At 43.4% G+C, this 18,254-nt stretch overlaps 1 protein-coding gene across 2 annotated transcripts in view; it reads right to left on the bottom strand.

The window, feature by feature from the left end:
• Nucleotides 1-18,254, bottom strand: part of EPAS1 (endothelial PAS domain protein 1) — an 89,291-nt gene that overhangs the window by 55,345 nt on the left and 15,692 nt on the right. The window contains exon 1 of one of the 2 annotated variants that reach the window (XM_011532698.3): nt 5,477-17,906. The exons of the other annotated variant lie outside the window; for it this stretch is intronic. Coding sequence (XP_011531000.1) covers nt 5,477-5,541 — 65 coding nt within the window. The 5' untranslated portion in view covers nt 5,542-17,906. Of the gene's footprint in view, nt 1-5,476; nt 17,907-18,254 lie in introns of those variants that run through there. 2 annotated transcript variants of the gene reach the window in all.

Raw genomic sequence — 18,254 nt, 5'->3', positions numbered from 1 at the left:
CCAGGGCTTTCATTTATTTGACAGTTACTGAGTGTCTACTACATGCCAGGCACTGGGGATAGAGAAGGGAAGACAGATCCCTACCCTCCAGGAACTGACAGCCCAGTCAGGGAGACACACTGAGCAGACCAGGCCAAGCGCATGTGCCATGCAGATGCAGCAGGACTGCCCGGGCTTGAGGACTTGGACACTTACTCTATGACCTGGGGCAAGTTACTTAAGTTTCTCTAAACCTCAGCGTCTATGAGTGCCTGCCTTACAGAGCCTCTGTGAGGAATAAATAATATATACATGTATGCAGAGAACCATGCCTAAGAAATACTACACACTCAATAGTGTTGAGGCCATTGCTACAGAAGTCAGGAGCAAGTGCTCTGGGAGCAAGAAAGATGACATAACCCAAAATGGGGAGGAAAAAAAAAAAGACTCCTCAAGGGTTTCCCCAGTTGTGAATTTAAGGACAAAGGAGAGTTAGCCAGGACAAGGAGGTGGTAAAGGAGTCCCAAAAAGATGGGGCAAAATCAGGCCCCGTGAGGCTATGGTTGTAGGAGGACAGGTCTTGCCAACAGGGGCTGAACTCCAGAACAATGCTTGGGACCATCCCTCCTAAGGTGTCCCAAGGTGCCCTCAGCCGGAAGCAGAATCCTGGTTTAGCTGAACCATGGGGCAACCCTATTGTGGCATTTCTTCTATTTTTGCATTCCTTGTGCTTTGACAATGAGATGATTGTGTGGATATTACAAGAGGTGATTATCTCCATGGGCACTGAGCCTGTTTTAGCGCAAAGACCTTGCTTTGCCAGAGCCAAGACTTCTGAGGTCACAGCTAAGTTGCCAATTCTAGAGAACTTCTGACAAACCTCAAGGCCACTGGGAACCCTGCTCTTTGCAGGATGGCTTATTTTAAAAGATAAGCTACACTAAGTAGGTGCTGGGCAGAAGGTAGCCTGGACTTGAGAGAGCCTCAGTTCAGGGACAGTGCACTACCCATCTATGTGTGCCTAGCTCTACGTGTAGGAAGAGAAAAAGACAGCCTGTGCTATGAAGCGATAACAGCTCAGAAACGGAGCTGGATTCTGGATTCTGTAAAGCCTTTTATCCCAGATCTCTGTGGGAATGGGGGTGCTTGGTGAAGCTCATGCCATCACGGGGGTCAGGGGCAGAGGGCACAGAGCTTGTTTGATTCTGTCATGATTTAAAGCATTAAGATGGAAACTTGGAGGGAAAGTTTCAAGAAAAGAGAAACAAAGTATTACTGATGATTCTGCCTGTTACAACAAACATGTGGCATCACAAACGGTCTGGAACCTCAATCAGAATGTTCAGCAGTTACACATTCTTAGTTGGATTTAAGTCATTCTGTGAATGATTCATCTCAATGCCTATAAGTGAACTTCTTGGCTGTGAGGCAATAGTTGGGGAATTTAAAATGTGTAATATTCCACAGAGGCAGGCAGAAGCTATGCAGACAGCCAGAGGTGTTTTTGTCTTTAAGAAGGATGTGTGTGTGTGTTTTGTTTGTCTGTTTGCTTGTTTTGAGATGGAGTCTTGCTCTGTCACCCAGAGTGCAGTGGTGTGATCTCGGCTCACTGCAACTTCCGCCTCCCGGGTTCAAGCGATTCTCCCGCCTCAGCCTCCCAAGTAGCTGGGATTACAGGTGCCCACCACTGCACCTGGCTAAATTGTGTATTTTTAGTAGAGACGGGGTTTCACTATCTCGGCCAGGCTAGTCTCGGACTCCTGACCTCATGATCCACCCGCCTCGGCCTCCTAAAGTGCTGGGATTACAGGCGCGAGCCACCACGCCTGGCCGTGTGTGTGTTTTAATAGAAAGCCTATAGAGATGAGCACAGGCCAATTAATAGGCAAGGTCTCCAAGGGGAAAAGAGCTTATCTTACAGGGACAACTCCTCGGTCTCATTGCCTTTTTGCTGCCAGCTTCCCTTGACCATCTTCCTGTTTTTCCATAGGCCTCCCCTTACCATAAATAGGATAGCCTACACGTTCCCCTCCTGTCTTGCAAGGACTGTCGGCATAGGTGCTGAGTCCTAGGAAAGAAAGAGCATTCTAGCAATGGTGCCTCCTACCCTGTGGTTGCCTCGCACCCAGATGACAATCCCTGAACCAGAGTCAGTAACCAATCCTAGCGCTTCACTTTCAGACACTGGCCTACTCAACCAGGAAGGGTTTCTGGAAATGCCCCTATTAAGGAAAAGAAATGTAATATGCAACTTGACTTTAAAAACCCAGGAAGCTCTAACACTCTATCAAGTTCTTAAGACTTTTTCTTTGCTGCATAATCCTTGGCCAAGTTCAAAGGTGAGCACTTTCCCAGAGGCTCATTAGGAATAATGTTTACTTCATACATTTTGAGGATGCAAAGTTTGACTCCATTTTGCTTATTTGGAAAAAAATAATTTTTTTTATGAACAAAAAGGAGGAGGGAACAGGGAATGAGACAAGGGTAAAATGTGAAAGAGAAGAAAAAGGTGCTTAGAAGACTGGCCTGGAAGGCAGACTTGTGTTCTGAACATTTTCACCTCTGATTTGCTCTGAAGAGTTACAATGGGAAGATATTGTACATTTCACCTTTCTGAACCTTGAAGACCCCATCTGTCCTCCCCACTGTTCTAAGTGATTGCTGAAGGTACGTTCTGATGGTAGATATGATATATACTCATGTTTTCACAGAGGATGCTACATAAATAAAGTGTAGTGACATTTATAACTAGGACTTCTGGGTTCTGTACTGGGAAGGAAATTCAACAGAGAGCTCTGTGAAGGTTTGTGGTCTGCTGCTCTCAAGCCAGGAGGTCATAAACAGGCCCATCAAACCAGGCCATCACTGACTGTTTGGGGGATGGGCAGCCATTCTCAGTGACTGGTTGAGGCCAGGGAGTTCAAGCTTGCACTTCATCTGTCATTTTCATCTCATTTCCTCCCTTAGAATAAAGCACCAGATCTAAATGGGCCTGCCACCTCCCATGTTTGGTTAACGAAGAGTGGTATGGGGGAACTGGTCATGGGGACAGAAGTACTTAATGCCTCCACCTGTCTTACCTGCCATCGTGGCCTCTACTCATTCTTCAAGACCCACTCAAGCTCCTAGCTCTCCCTCCTTCCAGGAGGTGCCCCCAATTTCCTGGCCGGGGTGACCTCACTTACTGTCTACACCACTCTTTTGGCACTTAGCAGTCTCTGCCAAGTTTTGTTAAGTCTCTTTTTTACCTGTGTAAGCCAGGGTCACTAACAGCCCGATCTGCATATGGACTCTGGGGACCATAGGATAGTTAGACTGGAAGAAAAATTTGAGGCTGTTGCCAAGTTTTCTCAAAACCTAAGTTCAGACAATTCTGGGGAGGGAGTACGTGTAGCCCCCCCGGAGGTAGGTTAACATTTGGGAGCAGAGAATTCACCTTTGATAGAGGGCTGGCTCAGGAGGCATGAGGCAATATTAAGCTCTTCCCAAAGACTTGGCAGGAGGGCTCTGGCGGGGCCTCCTCTGTGCACTGCCCTCTGGAGGTGGGGCTGAGACCACCACCAGGGTGCCCACAGCTGTTCAAAGCTGAACAGGGCAGAACACTTTTTCCACAAGTCACTCAACAGATGAATTTTTGTGTGTGCCTACTCTGTGCCAGGGGCTATATTCTAATGGAATTGTCATCCAAGGATATATGGGAAGCTGGTTTGAGCCTCTTTATAGCTTCCATCCACACTACCGGTTTTAGACATGGAGTTTTATAAACTTTGTCCCACCTTATATTCCAAATAGGTAACTTTTGTTTTTCTGCAGTTCAACTTTAATTTAAATATTAATGGCAGTGTTCCAAGCTTCAGAATTCATGGGATTTGTAAACAAGTCTGAGCTCCTGTCTAAAGTCTCTGTGGTTCTAAACATTAGATAGGTCACTATCAAATCTCCTGACTACTCTGGTCCATTCTAAAATCTCTATTCCTATGTTCTCACTGCCCATACCACCTAGCTTTTAATTTCTAATATTCTCTAATTCTCTAATACTCTCCTGTATATTAATGTCCTCTCCTCACTTAGATTATAGCTCCTTGAGGCCAGGGACCACATATCCTACTTTTTCTCTTTTTCATTATGCCAACACAATATTGGGCACACAGCAGGCATTTAATACATATTCAACCATGAAATCACGGCACTTTAGAATAAAGAAAATGTTAGCATTTATCCAGTCTAATCTCTTCATTGTACAGATGAGGAAACTGAGACCTGGAGGTTGTAAGTCACTAGCTCAAGGTCAGCACGGCCCCTGCTGGTCCTGAAGCTGAGACCAATGTTTATGGGCAGTAAACCATTATCTACTGACATAGGTACAACAGTGACCTACATTTTGCAGTTGAAGAATCAGAGGTACAATGTGTTTAAGTGACTTCTCCAAGATACCACAACTCATAGGTGGTAAATCTCGGACTGGAACCCAGGCAGTCTGGCTCCAGGGCCTGCAGGCTTACCGCCTCCCTCTCACTTCTCCTCTCCAAAACCCCTAGAACCATTTTCCCTATTTCCATATCAGGGTATTTACTATCTCCTGTCTTGAGTATGATCACCTGTATGCTCGTCTTACCCCTTCCTGGCCCCCACTAGACTATATTTCCTATGGGCAGGAACAAAGGTGTCTCCTTTAATTTTCTGGGATCTTCAGCCCAGTGCCCTTCCTACAGTGGGTGCTTAGTGAATAGAACTCCAAATATGTACAAATGAAGTATGCTAGGGTAGTAAGGCAATCCATTTCTTCCTCTTAAAACACTGTGTAGAACTTTAAATACTTGTTTTTCCCCACGGAGGAGATAGGAATCTAGTGGGAGTACAAATGCTTTGTCAAGGCCTCTCCACCCTGACCAAATGTTGCCCAATTCTTGCACAACCTTACAGTCACGTGGGAGGCTCATCCCCCAGGCAGGTGATCTAGCCACTCCTCTCTGCACCTATTCATCATGGTTTTTACCCCCGTTTTCTTTCACTGTGTACAGAAGACTGCATCCTGGCGCCCATACTTAAGCCACTCCAGGAAATCTTGATAGTCGAATTCCCTTGTTATTAGGCAGTTGAGATTGGAAGCTTAAAGAGAAAAGCAGATTCCCCACTCCCCCTGCTTCTCCCAAGAGCATAAGTTGGTTCCCTGCTGGTGGGAGAGTCAGCAACAACTACAAGATTCTAGTGTTTCCCAAATTCACACAGGAGGGAGAACTAGGCTATCCCCAGGGGCAACTGATGCCTAGAAGGAACTGATCCAATCCCAGCAGCACAGAATCATTTCCATTTCATATTGAATGTCACTGTTTTCTCAAATATTCAAAATAGCACCCATGCTATTCCAAGGTTTCCCCTTATGAAGAATAACTGGGCGCCATAATTATGGTTTTCTTTGCAGGAAGTGATCACTACAGCTTAGCTACTTTCCCTCTTCAGGATTTAAATGGGGTGAAGGTAAGGGGCTTTCACTAACCTTGCATATGGCAGCCTTCTGTTTCTTCTTTGTGTCCCTGTTTTAAAAACAAAAAGCCCTAACATGAGTTCTAATGATCATCATGGTAATAGGATTTCAAGTTTTTCGCCAAATTTTTTATCCATGCAGCAGCTATGGATGAATATAAAACACCCTGGAAGTGAGCGTGTATGTCCCAATGGAGCTTTCCTGTTGGCAGGAACAGAGAAAATGGTCATGGAACTCCTCCTCCAACACCTGCCTGACATCACCAGCACAAAAGCCAGAATTCTCCGGCTAAGCAATGGAAAGGTTGACTAGCTACCATACAATTACCCTGCACTGATCTTATCCCGCCTGGATTCTCAGTTGAACTACTAGGAGGTCACCACCAAAGTGAGTCATGTCATCCTTCGCCTGCCTACAGGATATTCTAACACTGAGGCTATTAGGGCTTTTACCATGAATGAAGGACACCCTTTGGTGCCTCTCCTAGTCCCTCAGCCTCAAGGAAATGCCCACATCGGCAGAATTTTTCTTTATGCTCTTTTGTATGTTCTTGCTCCCATCTGCAATGGATAGGACAAAACAGTTCTCTCCCCAAAAGGAACTATCTAAAAAATTCCCAAGGGCAGTAATACTCTAATGTAATACAATACTGGTTTTAAAATCCCATATTATCTAAGACTCTAACCTAGAACATACAGAGCACTGCCCACTGGAGAGTACTGGATCCAACAAGCCCAAGGGAACCTTCCTCACCATGCTTTTTAAGCAGGGAAGTGGATTCCTCCCAGGGTCCTGTCCTCAGGAGATTTCCCTGCTCCATCTGGAAAGGTCAGCTCACCCTAAAGATAAACTGGACCTTTTTTCTTCTCTTTCGATGTTAAGAGCTACACAACATACTTAAATATTAAACAACATCTCTATCAATGGGGAACTGCCCAGTCCAACAGTATAGCAAAAGCCTGTGCCCAAGCTGGGTGAGATAGAAGAAAGAAAGGCAGGCTGTGAGATGGGCTCCAGCCCAATTCGTTTTCAGTGTAGAGCAGAAACACCAACCACTTCTGGACTTCTCTATTCTCAACATTTAACAAAACAGCTCCAAATGGAGGACTCTGTCTCTCCTGTTAAGCCTTTTATAAGGTGCAGTTAGTTCCCCACTTACGTAACTGCTTTTAATAATGTGCCTTGAAAACTTGTACGGAAAAAGTTTGGCATCTAGGGGCAGCCCAAGGATGAGCGTTTTCATCCTGGCCAGGCTGCCACAGCCTTGCCCCAGTCTATAGGGCATATCACAGCCAAACAGGGACATAAATGCTCCCTTTAACTGTGTCTTGGTTTGGCCAGAGATGGCCTTAAACCAGTCTGTTCTCAGGGTTACTGTTCCCTACCTCCAGCATGCACCTATGCTTTGTATTTTCACAAGCAAGATTTGTAGTTTTGGATGATAAATATTTATTGGGCATCTATTGCCCATGGGCCTTGCTAAGAACTGTGGGGTGTGCAATTCATATAAAAACATAATTAGGGCTGGGCGCAGTGGCTCACACCTGTAATCCTAGCACCTTGGGAGGCCGAGGTGGGCAGATCACAAGGTCAGAAGATCGAGACCATCCTGGCTAACGTGGTGAAACTCTGTTTCTACTAAAAATACAAAAAAATTAGCCAGGCGTGGTGGCGGGTGCCTGTAGTCCCAGCTACTCAGGAGGGTGAGGAAGGAGAATGGCATGAACCCAGAAGGCGGAGCTTGCAGTGAGCCAAGATCGCACCACCGCACTCCAGCCTGGGCTACAGAACGAGACTCCGTCTCAAAAACAAACAAACAAAAAAACCATAATTCACCCTGCCCTTGCTTTTAAGCTGCACAAACAGCAAATGAGACAAGAGGTTGCCCTATATACACAGTAGCCATAGACTAAATATTTGTTGTTGGTGGTGAGACCAGACATTGTATGGGCTGGCAGAAACACGCAAAAGATCATGGTGGGTTATTTCAGAAGACAGGAGAATCACACCCAATACAGTCAGTTTCCTTTGATTACTCATGTATATCTTTGCAAAATTCTGTTTTGGCTTCCCTGTGGAAAACAGATGAGCAAGTGACCTAGGGGCATAATAGTGGCAATATCTGATACAATTCACAATTTTCAGAGGAAAAAAAAATATTACTTTCTTGATGAGTTTGGTCAGTTTTCTACCAGTCTCTTATGCCATAAGAAGAGAAGCAAGACATCAATCTGTGGATGACTTTGGGACTCAGAGAGCCTCTGTAATGTGTTTTGGTTTGGCCAGAGATGGCCTTAAACCAGTCTGCTCTCAGGGTTACTGTTCCCTACCTCCAGGATACACCTATGCTTTGTACTTTCACAAGCAAGATTTGTAGTTCCGTATGATAAATATTTATTGGGCATCTACTGCCCACGGGCCTTGCTAAGAACTGTTGGGTGCGCAAGATATATAAAAACATAATTCAGTCTTGTTTATTCCTCCCATCCATTTGTTAAAAGACCTCATCAGGTGTGGACACAGTTGCCTTTGGCACCTACTTTATTTTTCCTTTCTTAACAACTGTTTATTGATCACTATTTTATATCCATCACCAAACTTAGTGCCAAAGAGTAGAATAACTATTTTTAGAATAAAATGTAGCATATATGAATTAGACAAAATATAGCAGCTTAAAAAAAAAGTCTCCTCATTAACTTCGTCTAGATTTTTACACTTTTCAAGGGTAACGGCCCTGTGTTGCCTGTGTGCTGAGTGTAGACTCTAGTTATGATCCGTGAGGTCGCCATGGGAGTGCTGTGCTTCACACAGCCTGCAATCTACCACGCTCTTCCCTCCTAGGCAGATAAGACTGGAGCTCACACAAGGTTTGTTTTCAGCTGTTAATAGATTGATTCCTTGGTAATGTCTCCATTTTAGAAAGGCCATACAGGTTAGTACAGAAATTGCAAACTTCAGCTCCCACTGACGGGTAGGTTTGGCTGTCAGGAGCAGTGTGTGAAAGATTCCGAGGACATCTCTGGGCTCAGAGGTGCTGTGATTGATTAATATTGCCTGTCGTGGGGGTGGACTAAGTGAGGGAAGCACAGGTGGTATCTATGCCTTTGCCATCCCTGATATAATGGAAACAGCAGAAGCTTTGGAGTGAGGCCTCTCAGCTTCAAATCTGGGCTCTGGCTCTGTGTGCAAGAACTGAGGCAAGTCATTTGGCCTCTCTACATCTCAGCTCCTCATCTATAAATGGGAATAATATCTATTTCACAGGCTTGATGGAAAGCAGTGGTTCTCATAGTGTGGTCCAGGGATGAGCAACATCATCATCATCTAGGAACTTGTTAGAAATGCACACTCTCAGGCTCCACCTCAGACCTGCGGGCCGAGTAAGAAATTCTAGGGATGAGGTCCAGTAATCTGAGTTTTAATAAGCCCCAGGCAGTTCTGATGCACACTAAGGTTTGGAACCCCTGTTGTTAAGAGTCACAAATAAGTCCTGCGGCACTTACAAGGATAGAAGTTATGTTTTATCAGTCATGACTGATGTAGTCATCTGCCACACAGTGACTAGCAAAGTGCCAGGCTTATAGCAGGTGCTCAATACATTCTAACTTCTTTTTCTTGTAAAAATATGAGCTGCCAGCATAAGAACCTAGCGGGTGGAGAAGAGGAGGGGTTTGTATATTGTTTCAGGTGGAGAAATTAGCTAGTGCAGCGGTTCAAAGACTTAAGCAAATGCTTGGCAAGATGTCTGGGAGATTTCCTCCCCCAAGAAGAAGGAAGAAAGTGGGCCCAGGATTCCGTAGTAGATGACAACAATAATTATTCTCAGGGAAGAATTTCAGGGAAGGGTACCTATACATCACCCAAATCAGTAGGGATTATACAGGATAGATCCAGCCCACAGCAAGCTTGCCTTAAACCTCATTCAGAGAGTTGAAGTTACTTAAGTCCCAAAGGCCTCTATTTAAAATAGTTTCACATGCTCCACAGCACGAACTGAAAATAGGTCTACTGAGGTGCCTGTACTATATCCTATATGCCAGTTATTATATATAATAACCTTATGGTGCCTTCATCCTTCTCTCCCTGACACCTTTCACTCCCAAATATCATTATGTTGATAGTCTTTGTTTGCCTCACAGGTGTAAACAATGGGGCAGTGATTTCCATTCCCACACAGGCTGTTGTGGGGGTGCGGGGGTGGGGTGGGGGGCAAGGAACAGGCAATATGTTTATAAAGACAAATCACTGATCATTAGGAAAATGTAAATCAAAGCCACAATGAGATACCACTTCACACCCACTAGGATGGCTGATATCTAAAAACAAAAACAAAACAAAACAAAAAACAGAAAATAACAAGTGTTAGCAGGGAAATGAAGAAACTGGAACTCTTATGCATTGCTCGTGAAAATGTACAATGGTATGGCTGCTATGGAAGACAGTACAGCAGTTTTTGAAAAAAATAAACACAGAATTACCATATGATCCAGAAATTCCACTTCTAGGTCTATATCCAAAAAAACTGAAAGCAGGGACTCAAATTGTACACCATGTTCACCATGATTCACAACACCCAAAGGTGGAAACAACTCAAATGTCCCTTGACAGAAGACCAGATAAACAAAATATAGTGTCTACACACAATAGGATATTATTCGGCCTTAAAAAGAAATAAAACTTTGAATACATGTTGTAACTTGGATGAACCTTGAAAACATTATGCTAAGTGAAATAAGCCAGACATAAAAGGACAAATACTTTATATGTCTATATATACAATCTACTTGGAATAGTCATATTCATAGAGAAAGTAGAATAGTGATTATCGGGGATTGGAGCATGTGGGGAATAAAGAGTTATTATTTAATGAGTACAGAGTTTCCATTTGAGATGATGAAAAAGTTCTTGAGCAGTGGTGCTTGTAGCCCAACAATATGAACGTACTTAATGCCATTGAATTGCAGGCTTAAAAATAGTTAAAATGGTAAACATTTTTTGTTATGTATATTTTACCACAATAAAAAACGATTTAACCACCTTAACCCCACCACTACCAGCAAAGGAAAACGACAACACAATGCAAAGCTTCTACAGTACTCTTAAACTAAACTCTCACACAAAGTTAAGTATCTTGAATAGAAAGGACTCCAAAACCTCTCCCTGCTTAAAATCTAAGATGATAATGGCACGGGCAGACAGTTTTCTTAATTTACTTTCATCTGCCACACTCCAAGCATATCTGCTGTGAAAAAGAGACACAGCTGAAAATGGAGATTTAGCTCTGGCTGTCCAGTGTGTTCACCCAGTGGCTTCAAAATCCCTATTCTCCTTTCCGTTAATGAAGGTTTGCTTCGATCTTTCCATTAGCCCACAAACTGCTATTAGAAAAGCCATTTATCAAATTAACACTGAGCACTGCAAAAGTCATCTGCAAGCGGCGTGCACTTTTCCACGTAGGAGTTGCTATGCCAACAGCTGCTCCATGTGCATTGTACAGAAGTAGCCATTTCAACAAAGTCCTGTTCAACAATTCCCAGGACCAATTAAGTCTTACTGTCCCTTTGCACTCCCTAAATGTGTACACATGGCAAGTACCCTACCAGAATCGGGTAATGACCAACTAAGGGAGCAATTACAAAATCAACAAATTTCCACACACCGAAAACTTTGAAAAGCAGGCAACAATTAGTTTCTCTCTTTAACTTTTACTCCTAGTCCCATCCTCATTCCTCGGGAATAGAGTCAAGGAATTTGGTGTAATAAGAGTCTGGCCAGTAATTCTAGAAAAAGGAGTCCAGGGTGAATAAATTGAAGGAGAGACTGTAATTATTCAGATTGTTGTAATAGATCATTTGCCTGAAGAGCAGACAACTATAAACAAAATGAGGCAAAAATCCTCGCATTCTGCCGTTGCCAAATTTTGTTGCAAATTTTTCTGTTCGAAGATGCCTGGGAACTCTTAAATATGTTTAAACTGACTGGCATTATCATGCTTTCCCACATAGACAAGAAATCTGAAAAAGAGAGCTTTAGGAAACGATTTGTCTTGACTAAACAGTAAACTTTACAAGCAATTCCCAACCACAAGCAATCATCCCCAGCCTCATACTATCACTTCTGATTAAATCAAACATTCAACTCAATTTAAAAATGAATCAAAGAAAATAAGCAAATACCGCAGGCACCTGGCTCCAAAACAAAGAGGAATCACCATTATATCAAAGTTTACTGTAAATCTATGCCACACTTCCAACCACGATCAGCAATGGAGGAGAAAAAGCTAATCACAAGCCTTAAAAATATACAATTTCCAAGGATGAGACAGAAACACTGATAGCACCTTTTTCAGCTAAACTAGTTGGATTTTTAAAATAATCTTCCAACTGTCAGCAAATCTGAATGATACTTTCTTTAAAGTTTTTAACATCATGAAAACAACTGTATAAAGAAGAAAGAGTGCCTTTTTAAAGATATAGATTGTGTCATAAAATTTCAGGAGGACAATAACCAATTAAAATTAAAAATGGAGCTTATTTGAAATCTTGGTCACAGGAATACCACTGAAGAAAAACTTGTTCTCCCAGCTAGCAGCTCCTGGCTCAAAGCATACATATGGGCCACACTGGAGGATCATTTTACCCAGGGTAAGGTCTGGCCCAGCCCTGGAAGCTGTCATCATTGCAGCCTCTTCCTATGTAATCAAGTGAATTATTCTAAGCCTAGAGAAAGGCCTACATGGCACTTAACCTTTTATTTTGCAGCTATTTCTGGGGCACCATAGCTAACACACTGGTCAGAAATATAGAAAAGATGCCGCTTTTCAGATAACACATTGGTCAGAAATATAGAAAAGATGCTGCTTTTCAGGTCTGAAAATAAGCTTGGGCTGGTTATAGCTTGTTTTCTGAGCCTGGACATGTCAATGAATAAGGGTTTCACTATGATACCTCTATAAGTGGAACTTAATACAACTATGTATTAAATCTTTGTAACTTAGTAGCAAGAGATAGTTCTGATATATTGCTATATAGAAAATGCATTTCACAATAGCATGTAACATGATAATGCAGGCATACCTCATTTTATTGTGCTTCACAATTAATACTATTAATAACTAATAATTAATGTTGAATTTAGGGAAGACACGTCATGTGAATTTACAAGTAGTTCTGCTACAACATGGCATATGAGCTCCTAAAAATCACCACACTATGCAAAACTAAAAACCACAGAGCTTACGGGAAAGAAGAGGTTAGGGTACAACACTCAAAAACTTTCTCAGCAACACAAAAACAATATGGGAACTTAATAAAAATGGTAGCACAGTTTTACACGTGTTAAATGGTTAAGAAACACAGGCATGCCTTGTTTTATTATGCCTTACTTTATTGCACTTTGCAGATATTGCACTTTTTACAAATTGAAGGTTTGTCAGGCAAGTTTATCCATGCCATTTTTCCAATAGTATGTGCTCACTTCATATCTGTGCCACATTTTGGTCATTCTTGCAATATTTCAAACTTTCATTATTATAGCTATTATTATAATGATCTGCGATCAGTGATCTTTGATGTTACCACCGTAATTGTTTTTAGGCATAAACTGCACCCATATAAGACAGTGATCTTAATAAATGTTGTGTGTGTTCTGACTGGTCCAGTGATTGTTCCTCTGTGTGCGTGTGTGTGTTTGTGTGTGTGTGTGTGTATCTCTCTCTCCCCCTCCCCAATCCTTCCTATTCCCTGAGACACAACAATATTGAAATTAGACCAATTTTAATAACTCTACAATGGGCTCTATGTGTTCGAATGAAAGGAAGAGTCACATCTCTCACTTTAAATCAAAAGTTAAGGAATGATTAAGCTTAGTGAGAAGATCAAACCAGGCATAATATTCCCTTAAGCCAAAGTCTAATCCAGAGCAAGGCCCTAACTCTCTTCAATTCTAGGAAGGCAGAGCAAGGTAAGGAAGCTGCATTAAGAAAAGTATGAAGCTAGCAGAGGTTGGTTCGTCACATTTAAGGAAAGAAGACATCTCCATAACATAAAAATGCAAGGTGAAAGAGCAAGTGCTGATACATAAGCGGCAGCCAGTTATTTAGAAGATCTAGCTAAGATCATTGATGAAGGTGGCTACACTAAACAGATTTTCAGTGTAGATGAAAGAGCCTTATGCTGGATGAACATGCCATCTAGGACTTTCACTGCAAGAGGGGAGAAGTCAATCCCTAGTTTCAAAGGACAGGCTGACTCTCTTACTAGGGACTAATGCAGCTGGTGAGTTTAAGCTGAAGCCACTTATCATTTACCATTCTGTAAGTCCTAGGGTTCTTAAAAATTATGCCAAATCTACTTTATTGGTGCTCTATCAGTGGAACAACAAAACCTGGATGACAGCACATATGTTTATGTGCTCGTTGTCAATGCACCTAGTTACTCAAGAGCCCTGATGGAGACGCACAAAATTAATGTTGTTTTCATGCCTGCTAACACAAGATCCATTCTGAAGCCCATGGATCAAGGAGTAATTCTGACTTCCAAGTCTTATTCAAGAAATTTTGTAAGGCTATAGCTGCCATAGATAGTGATTCCTAGATGAATCTGGGCAAAGTAAATTGAAAACCACCTGAAAAGAGTTCACCATTCTAGATACCATTAACAGCATTTGTAATTTGTGGGAGGATGTCAAAATATCAGCAGTAACAGGAGTCTGGAAGAAGTTAATTCCAAACCTCACGGATGACTTTGAGGGGTTCAAGACTTTAGTGGAGGAAGTAACTGCAGATGTGGAAGAAATAGCAAGAAAACTAGAAGTGGAGCCTGAAGATGTGACTGAACTGTTGCAACCTCATGATAAAACTTGAACAGATGAGTCAGAGCTTCTTACAGATGAGAAAAGAAAAGTGGCTTCTCAAGATGGAATTTGCTCCTGGTAAAGATGGTGTGAACACTGTGGAAATGACAACAAAGGATTTAGAATATTACATCAACTAAGTTGATAAAGCAGTGGCAGGGTTTGAGAGGATTGACACCAATTATGAAGGAAGTTTTACTGTGGGTAAAATGCTATCAGACAGTATCACATGCTGCAGAGTCTTTCCTGAAAAGAAGACTCTATTGATGTAAAAAACTTCATTCTTGTCTGATTTCAAGGAATTGCCACAGCCACCCCAACCTTCAGCAACCGTCACACTAATCAGTTCTGCAGCCACCGATATGGAGGCAAGAACCTCTCCCAGTAAGAAGATTATGACTCACTGAAGGCTCAGATGATTGTTAGCATTTCTTTTAGCAATAAAATATTTTTAAATTAAGGTATAGACATTGTTGGCCAGGTGCGGTGGCTCATGCCTGTAATCCCAACACTTTGGGAGGCTGAGGCAGGCAGATCATTTGAGGCCAGTAGTTCGAGACCAGCCTGGCCAACATGGCAAAACCCCATCTCTACTAAAAACACAAAAATTAGCTGGGTGTGGCAGCACATGTCTGTAAATCCCAGCTACTCGGGGGTGCTGAGGCACCAGAATTGCTTGAACCCAGGAGGCGGAAGTTGCAGTGAGCTAAGATTGCCCCATTGCACTCCAGTCTGTGCAACGGAGTGAAACTGTGTCTCAAAAAGAAAAAAAAAAAGGGTATGTACATTGTTTTTTAGACATAATGCTAAAATATAAACATAACTTTCATATGCACGAGGAAACAAAAAAAAATCATGTGACTCGTTTTATTGTGATATTCACTTTACTGTAGTGGCCTGGAACGAACCTACAATATCTTAGAAGTATGCCCGTATTCTGTAATTATATATCAATATTCATGATATAGAGAAAAGTATGTTCACCAAAGAGTTAACAGTGGTTATCTCTGGGTGATGGAATTTTGGTGATTTTTATTTTTATCTCCATGCCTTCTTTTACTATGACTTTTTATGGGGAACATGTATATTTTTTATAATCAGAAGAAAACAACTTAGCAACTTTAAAAATAATTTTACAGGAGAGACAATTCATGGAGATAGATGTGTGTGCACATGGTCCCAGGGCCTTCCCAACTCCCCTTGTGCTATAATCTTCCAAAGAATTTGAGGGGGCTCTGCCCCTCTTGCCCTCCACCCTCAGAGCCCAGAGCACCCCTGGGTGACGTTTGCAGATCCCTGCCCTCCCTCTACATCCTGCCCTCGGTCCAGCAGTGTGAGTGAGCTGCTCCTGCACTGGGGCCAGCCATTCAGGGAGCAAGGAAATATTATGCAAGAGCACAGGAAGTCAGAGGAGACAGGATTCTGGGCAGGCCTGGCAAGGAGTCTGTGTGAACTCCAGTGAACAAGCAGACTTTGCTCAGTGGGGCCGAAGCCAGCAGAAGGCCTTCCCAGGGCAGCAAAAGGGAGCCGTCCACCTCATGTCTCTGGCCAGTGGGCAGCCATCCAGAACTTGATGTACCTGATGTGAGGCAGATAAACCCAAGTCTCAATATTTCTACTCTTCTGGCCCAAGTTCAAGGTGACTCCCCAACACTTATGCACTGTGACTCACCTCCGTCCCACAGTATGCACCCCCGCCCCCTCTGTACAACATGACTTCATTCAGTGATTTTCAAACCTGCTCCTCTCACGGCCATCAGCTTTCCGGCTCAGTCCGTTCTCACTGTCTCAGAGTGAGGGACACAGTTCCTCCGGGTTGCCTGCATGGGTTGCCTCACATCAGTATCAGCCCTGAAAACTTCAGATACGTTCATGTACATGTATATGAGTCACAGTGGCCACAACCTCTTCTTTTGCAGTAGTTGATATTTTGGAAGCCCCAATCCAACTGGCAGGGCAGAGATCATATCAGCCATCTAACAGAAGTGGAAACTGAGGCACAGAGGGAGTGCAGTGTGACCTAGTTGAGGGTGCTCTCCGTCACCCCAGCAGCCTGCCTCCTTCTCCCTGGCATCAGGAGATGGAGACACTACCCCTCCTGCAAGCACAACTATCCCTTTTTGTAGAAACCACTGGGCAGCCCACCTTCTCGTACCCCAGCCCACCTCCTTCTTGAGGGTGGTGGTCTTGCTGCTGTCATGGAAGTGGGTTGGGCCATGCCCAACAGCGACTTCCAAGTCTCTGCCCCTCTATTCCAACAGAACCTCCTCTTGGAGAATGGGGAGTTCCTTCCTCCAGCTCCCGACCAATCATCTTTAATCGTCCACCTTCCTTCCCTCTAAGGGAGCATGTGAAAACAGGAGTCAGGACGAGGCTCCACTTGAAATTTATTTCACAATGGAGCTAGAACCCTATTGGGGATCTCTGAGCCAATTTTGACTGGTTCCCACTTACTAGTCCATTGTGAAGATGGGGAAACTGAGGCCCAGAGAGATCATCCAGCTGATTGGCACTTGCCTTTGCTGTCTAGCAGGCTACACAAACAGGACGTTTTCCTGAACAGAAAGGACCTAGATCTGAGTGGAGAGATAGCCAGGGCTGGGTAGAAATGGGGCTGTAGTCCTAGGACCCACACTCCCTTTGGCATCTGTGGAGGTACAGGCAGTGGTGTTTCAACACGCAGAGCCAGCCATGTAGAGAGTGACACCGACCCAATCACTGCCCCTGACCTGACAATTGCTAATTGTGGTAAGAACCGACAGTGGCATTCTCCTGGGACTCTCTTGTGTATTTCCAGACGCCACCAACACACAATGGCCTCTACTCCTCCGGTGTAAACATTGCCAAATAAGACAAACAATAACATCACCACGACAGAAAAATAAGGTGCCAAGAGAGACAGCATGGGTCTGTGGAAAGAGTCTGGGTCTGGGAGCTGTTCAGGTAGGCACTGCCACTCTCTGGTTTTGTGATCACATTTTTGTGCCTCAGTTGTTTCATCTATATGACAAAAATGACAAAAGCTTCAATCTACATCAAGAGCTTTGAAAAAAAATTAAGCACTGAACAAATATAAGAAATAATAACGTTGAAGACAAAGACCTGACAACCTCAGATTATTTCACTTAACAAACATTTAAGGAGCACCTCCTGTGTGTAGGCACTGCCCCAAACCCTGAGGATATGGCAGTAACCATGTAATGCATGGTCCCTGCCTTCATGAAGCTTACATACTAGGGGGCAGCAAAGGTGACAGATGATAAGCAAATAAATTATGACATGTGGGGCTGGTCACCGTGGCTCATGCCTGTAATCCCAGCACTTTGGGAGGCCAAGGCGGGCAGATCACCTGAGGTCAGAGTTTGAGACCAGCCTGGCCAACATGGTGAAACCCCATCTCTACTAAAAATACAAATATTAGCCTGGCATGGTGGTGCGTGCCTGTAATCCCCGCTACTCAGGAAGCCGAGGTGGGAGAATCGCTTGAACCTGGGAGGTAGAGGTTGCAGTGAGCTGAGATCCCGCCATTGCACTGCAGCCTGGCGACAGAGTGAGACACTGTCTCAAAAATAAATAAATAAATAAATAAATAAATAACAACATGTGGGAAGTACTGCTAAAACAAAACAAAACAGAACAGGAGGGAGGTTAACTAAAGGAGGTGAGAAAATGCTTCCCTAGGGAGGTGATATTTAAGCTGAGACCTGAAGGCAGAAGTTAACTGGCCAGCCTCATGGGTGGGGCTGAGGGATGAGCAAGCTTAGGCATTAGGGGCATCAAAGATGTTACAGATGAAGGATCAGAGGCCAGAGCTGAGTGGCCTGTCACATCTCATGGTCAGTATGTAGCACAGCCAGGCGTTTGCACTCAAAGCCTTTTTCCCACTTCTAGTAACACCGGAAGGACAAGGTATCTTTTAGGTGTCAACATTCGCTCT

This window comes from Homo sapiens, chromosome 2 (genome assembly GCF_000001405.40).
Source record: "Homo sapiens chromosome 2, GRCh38.p14 Primary Assembly".
NCBI classification, from domain to species: domain Eukaryota; kingdom Metazoa; phylum Chordata; class Mammalia; order Primates; family Hominidae; genus Homo; species Homo sapiens.
This window is presented reverse-complemented; position numbering and strand designations above follow the sequence as displayed.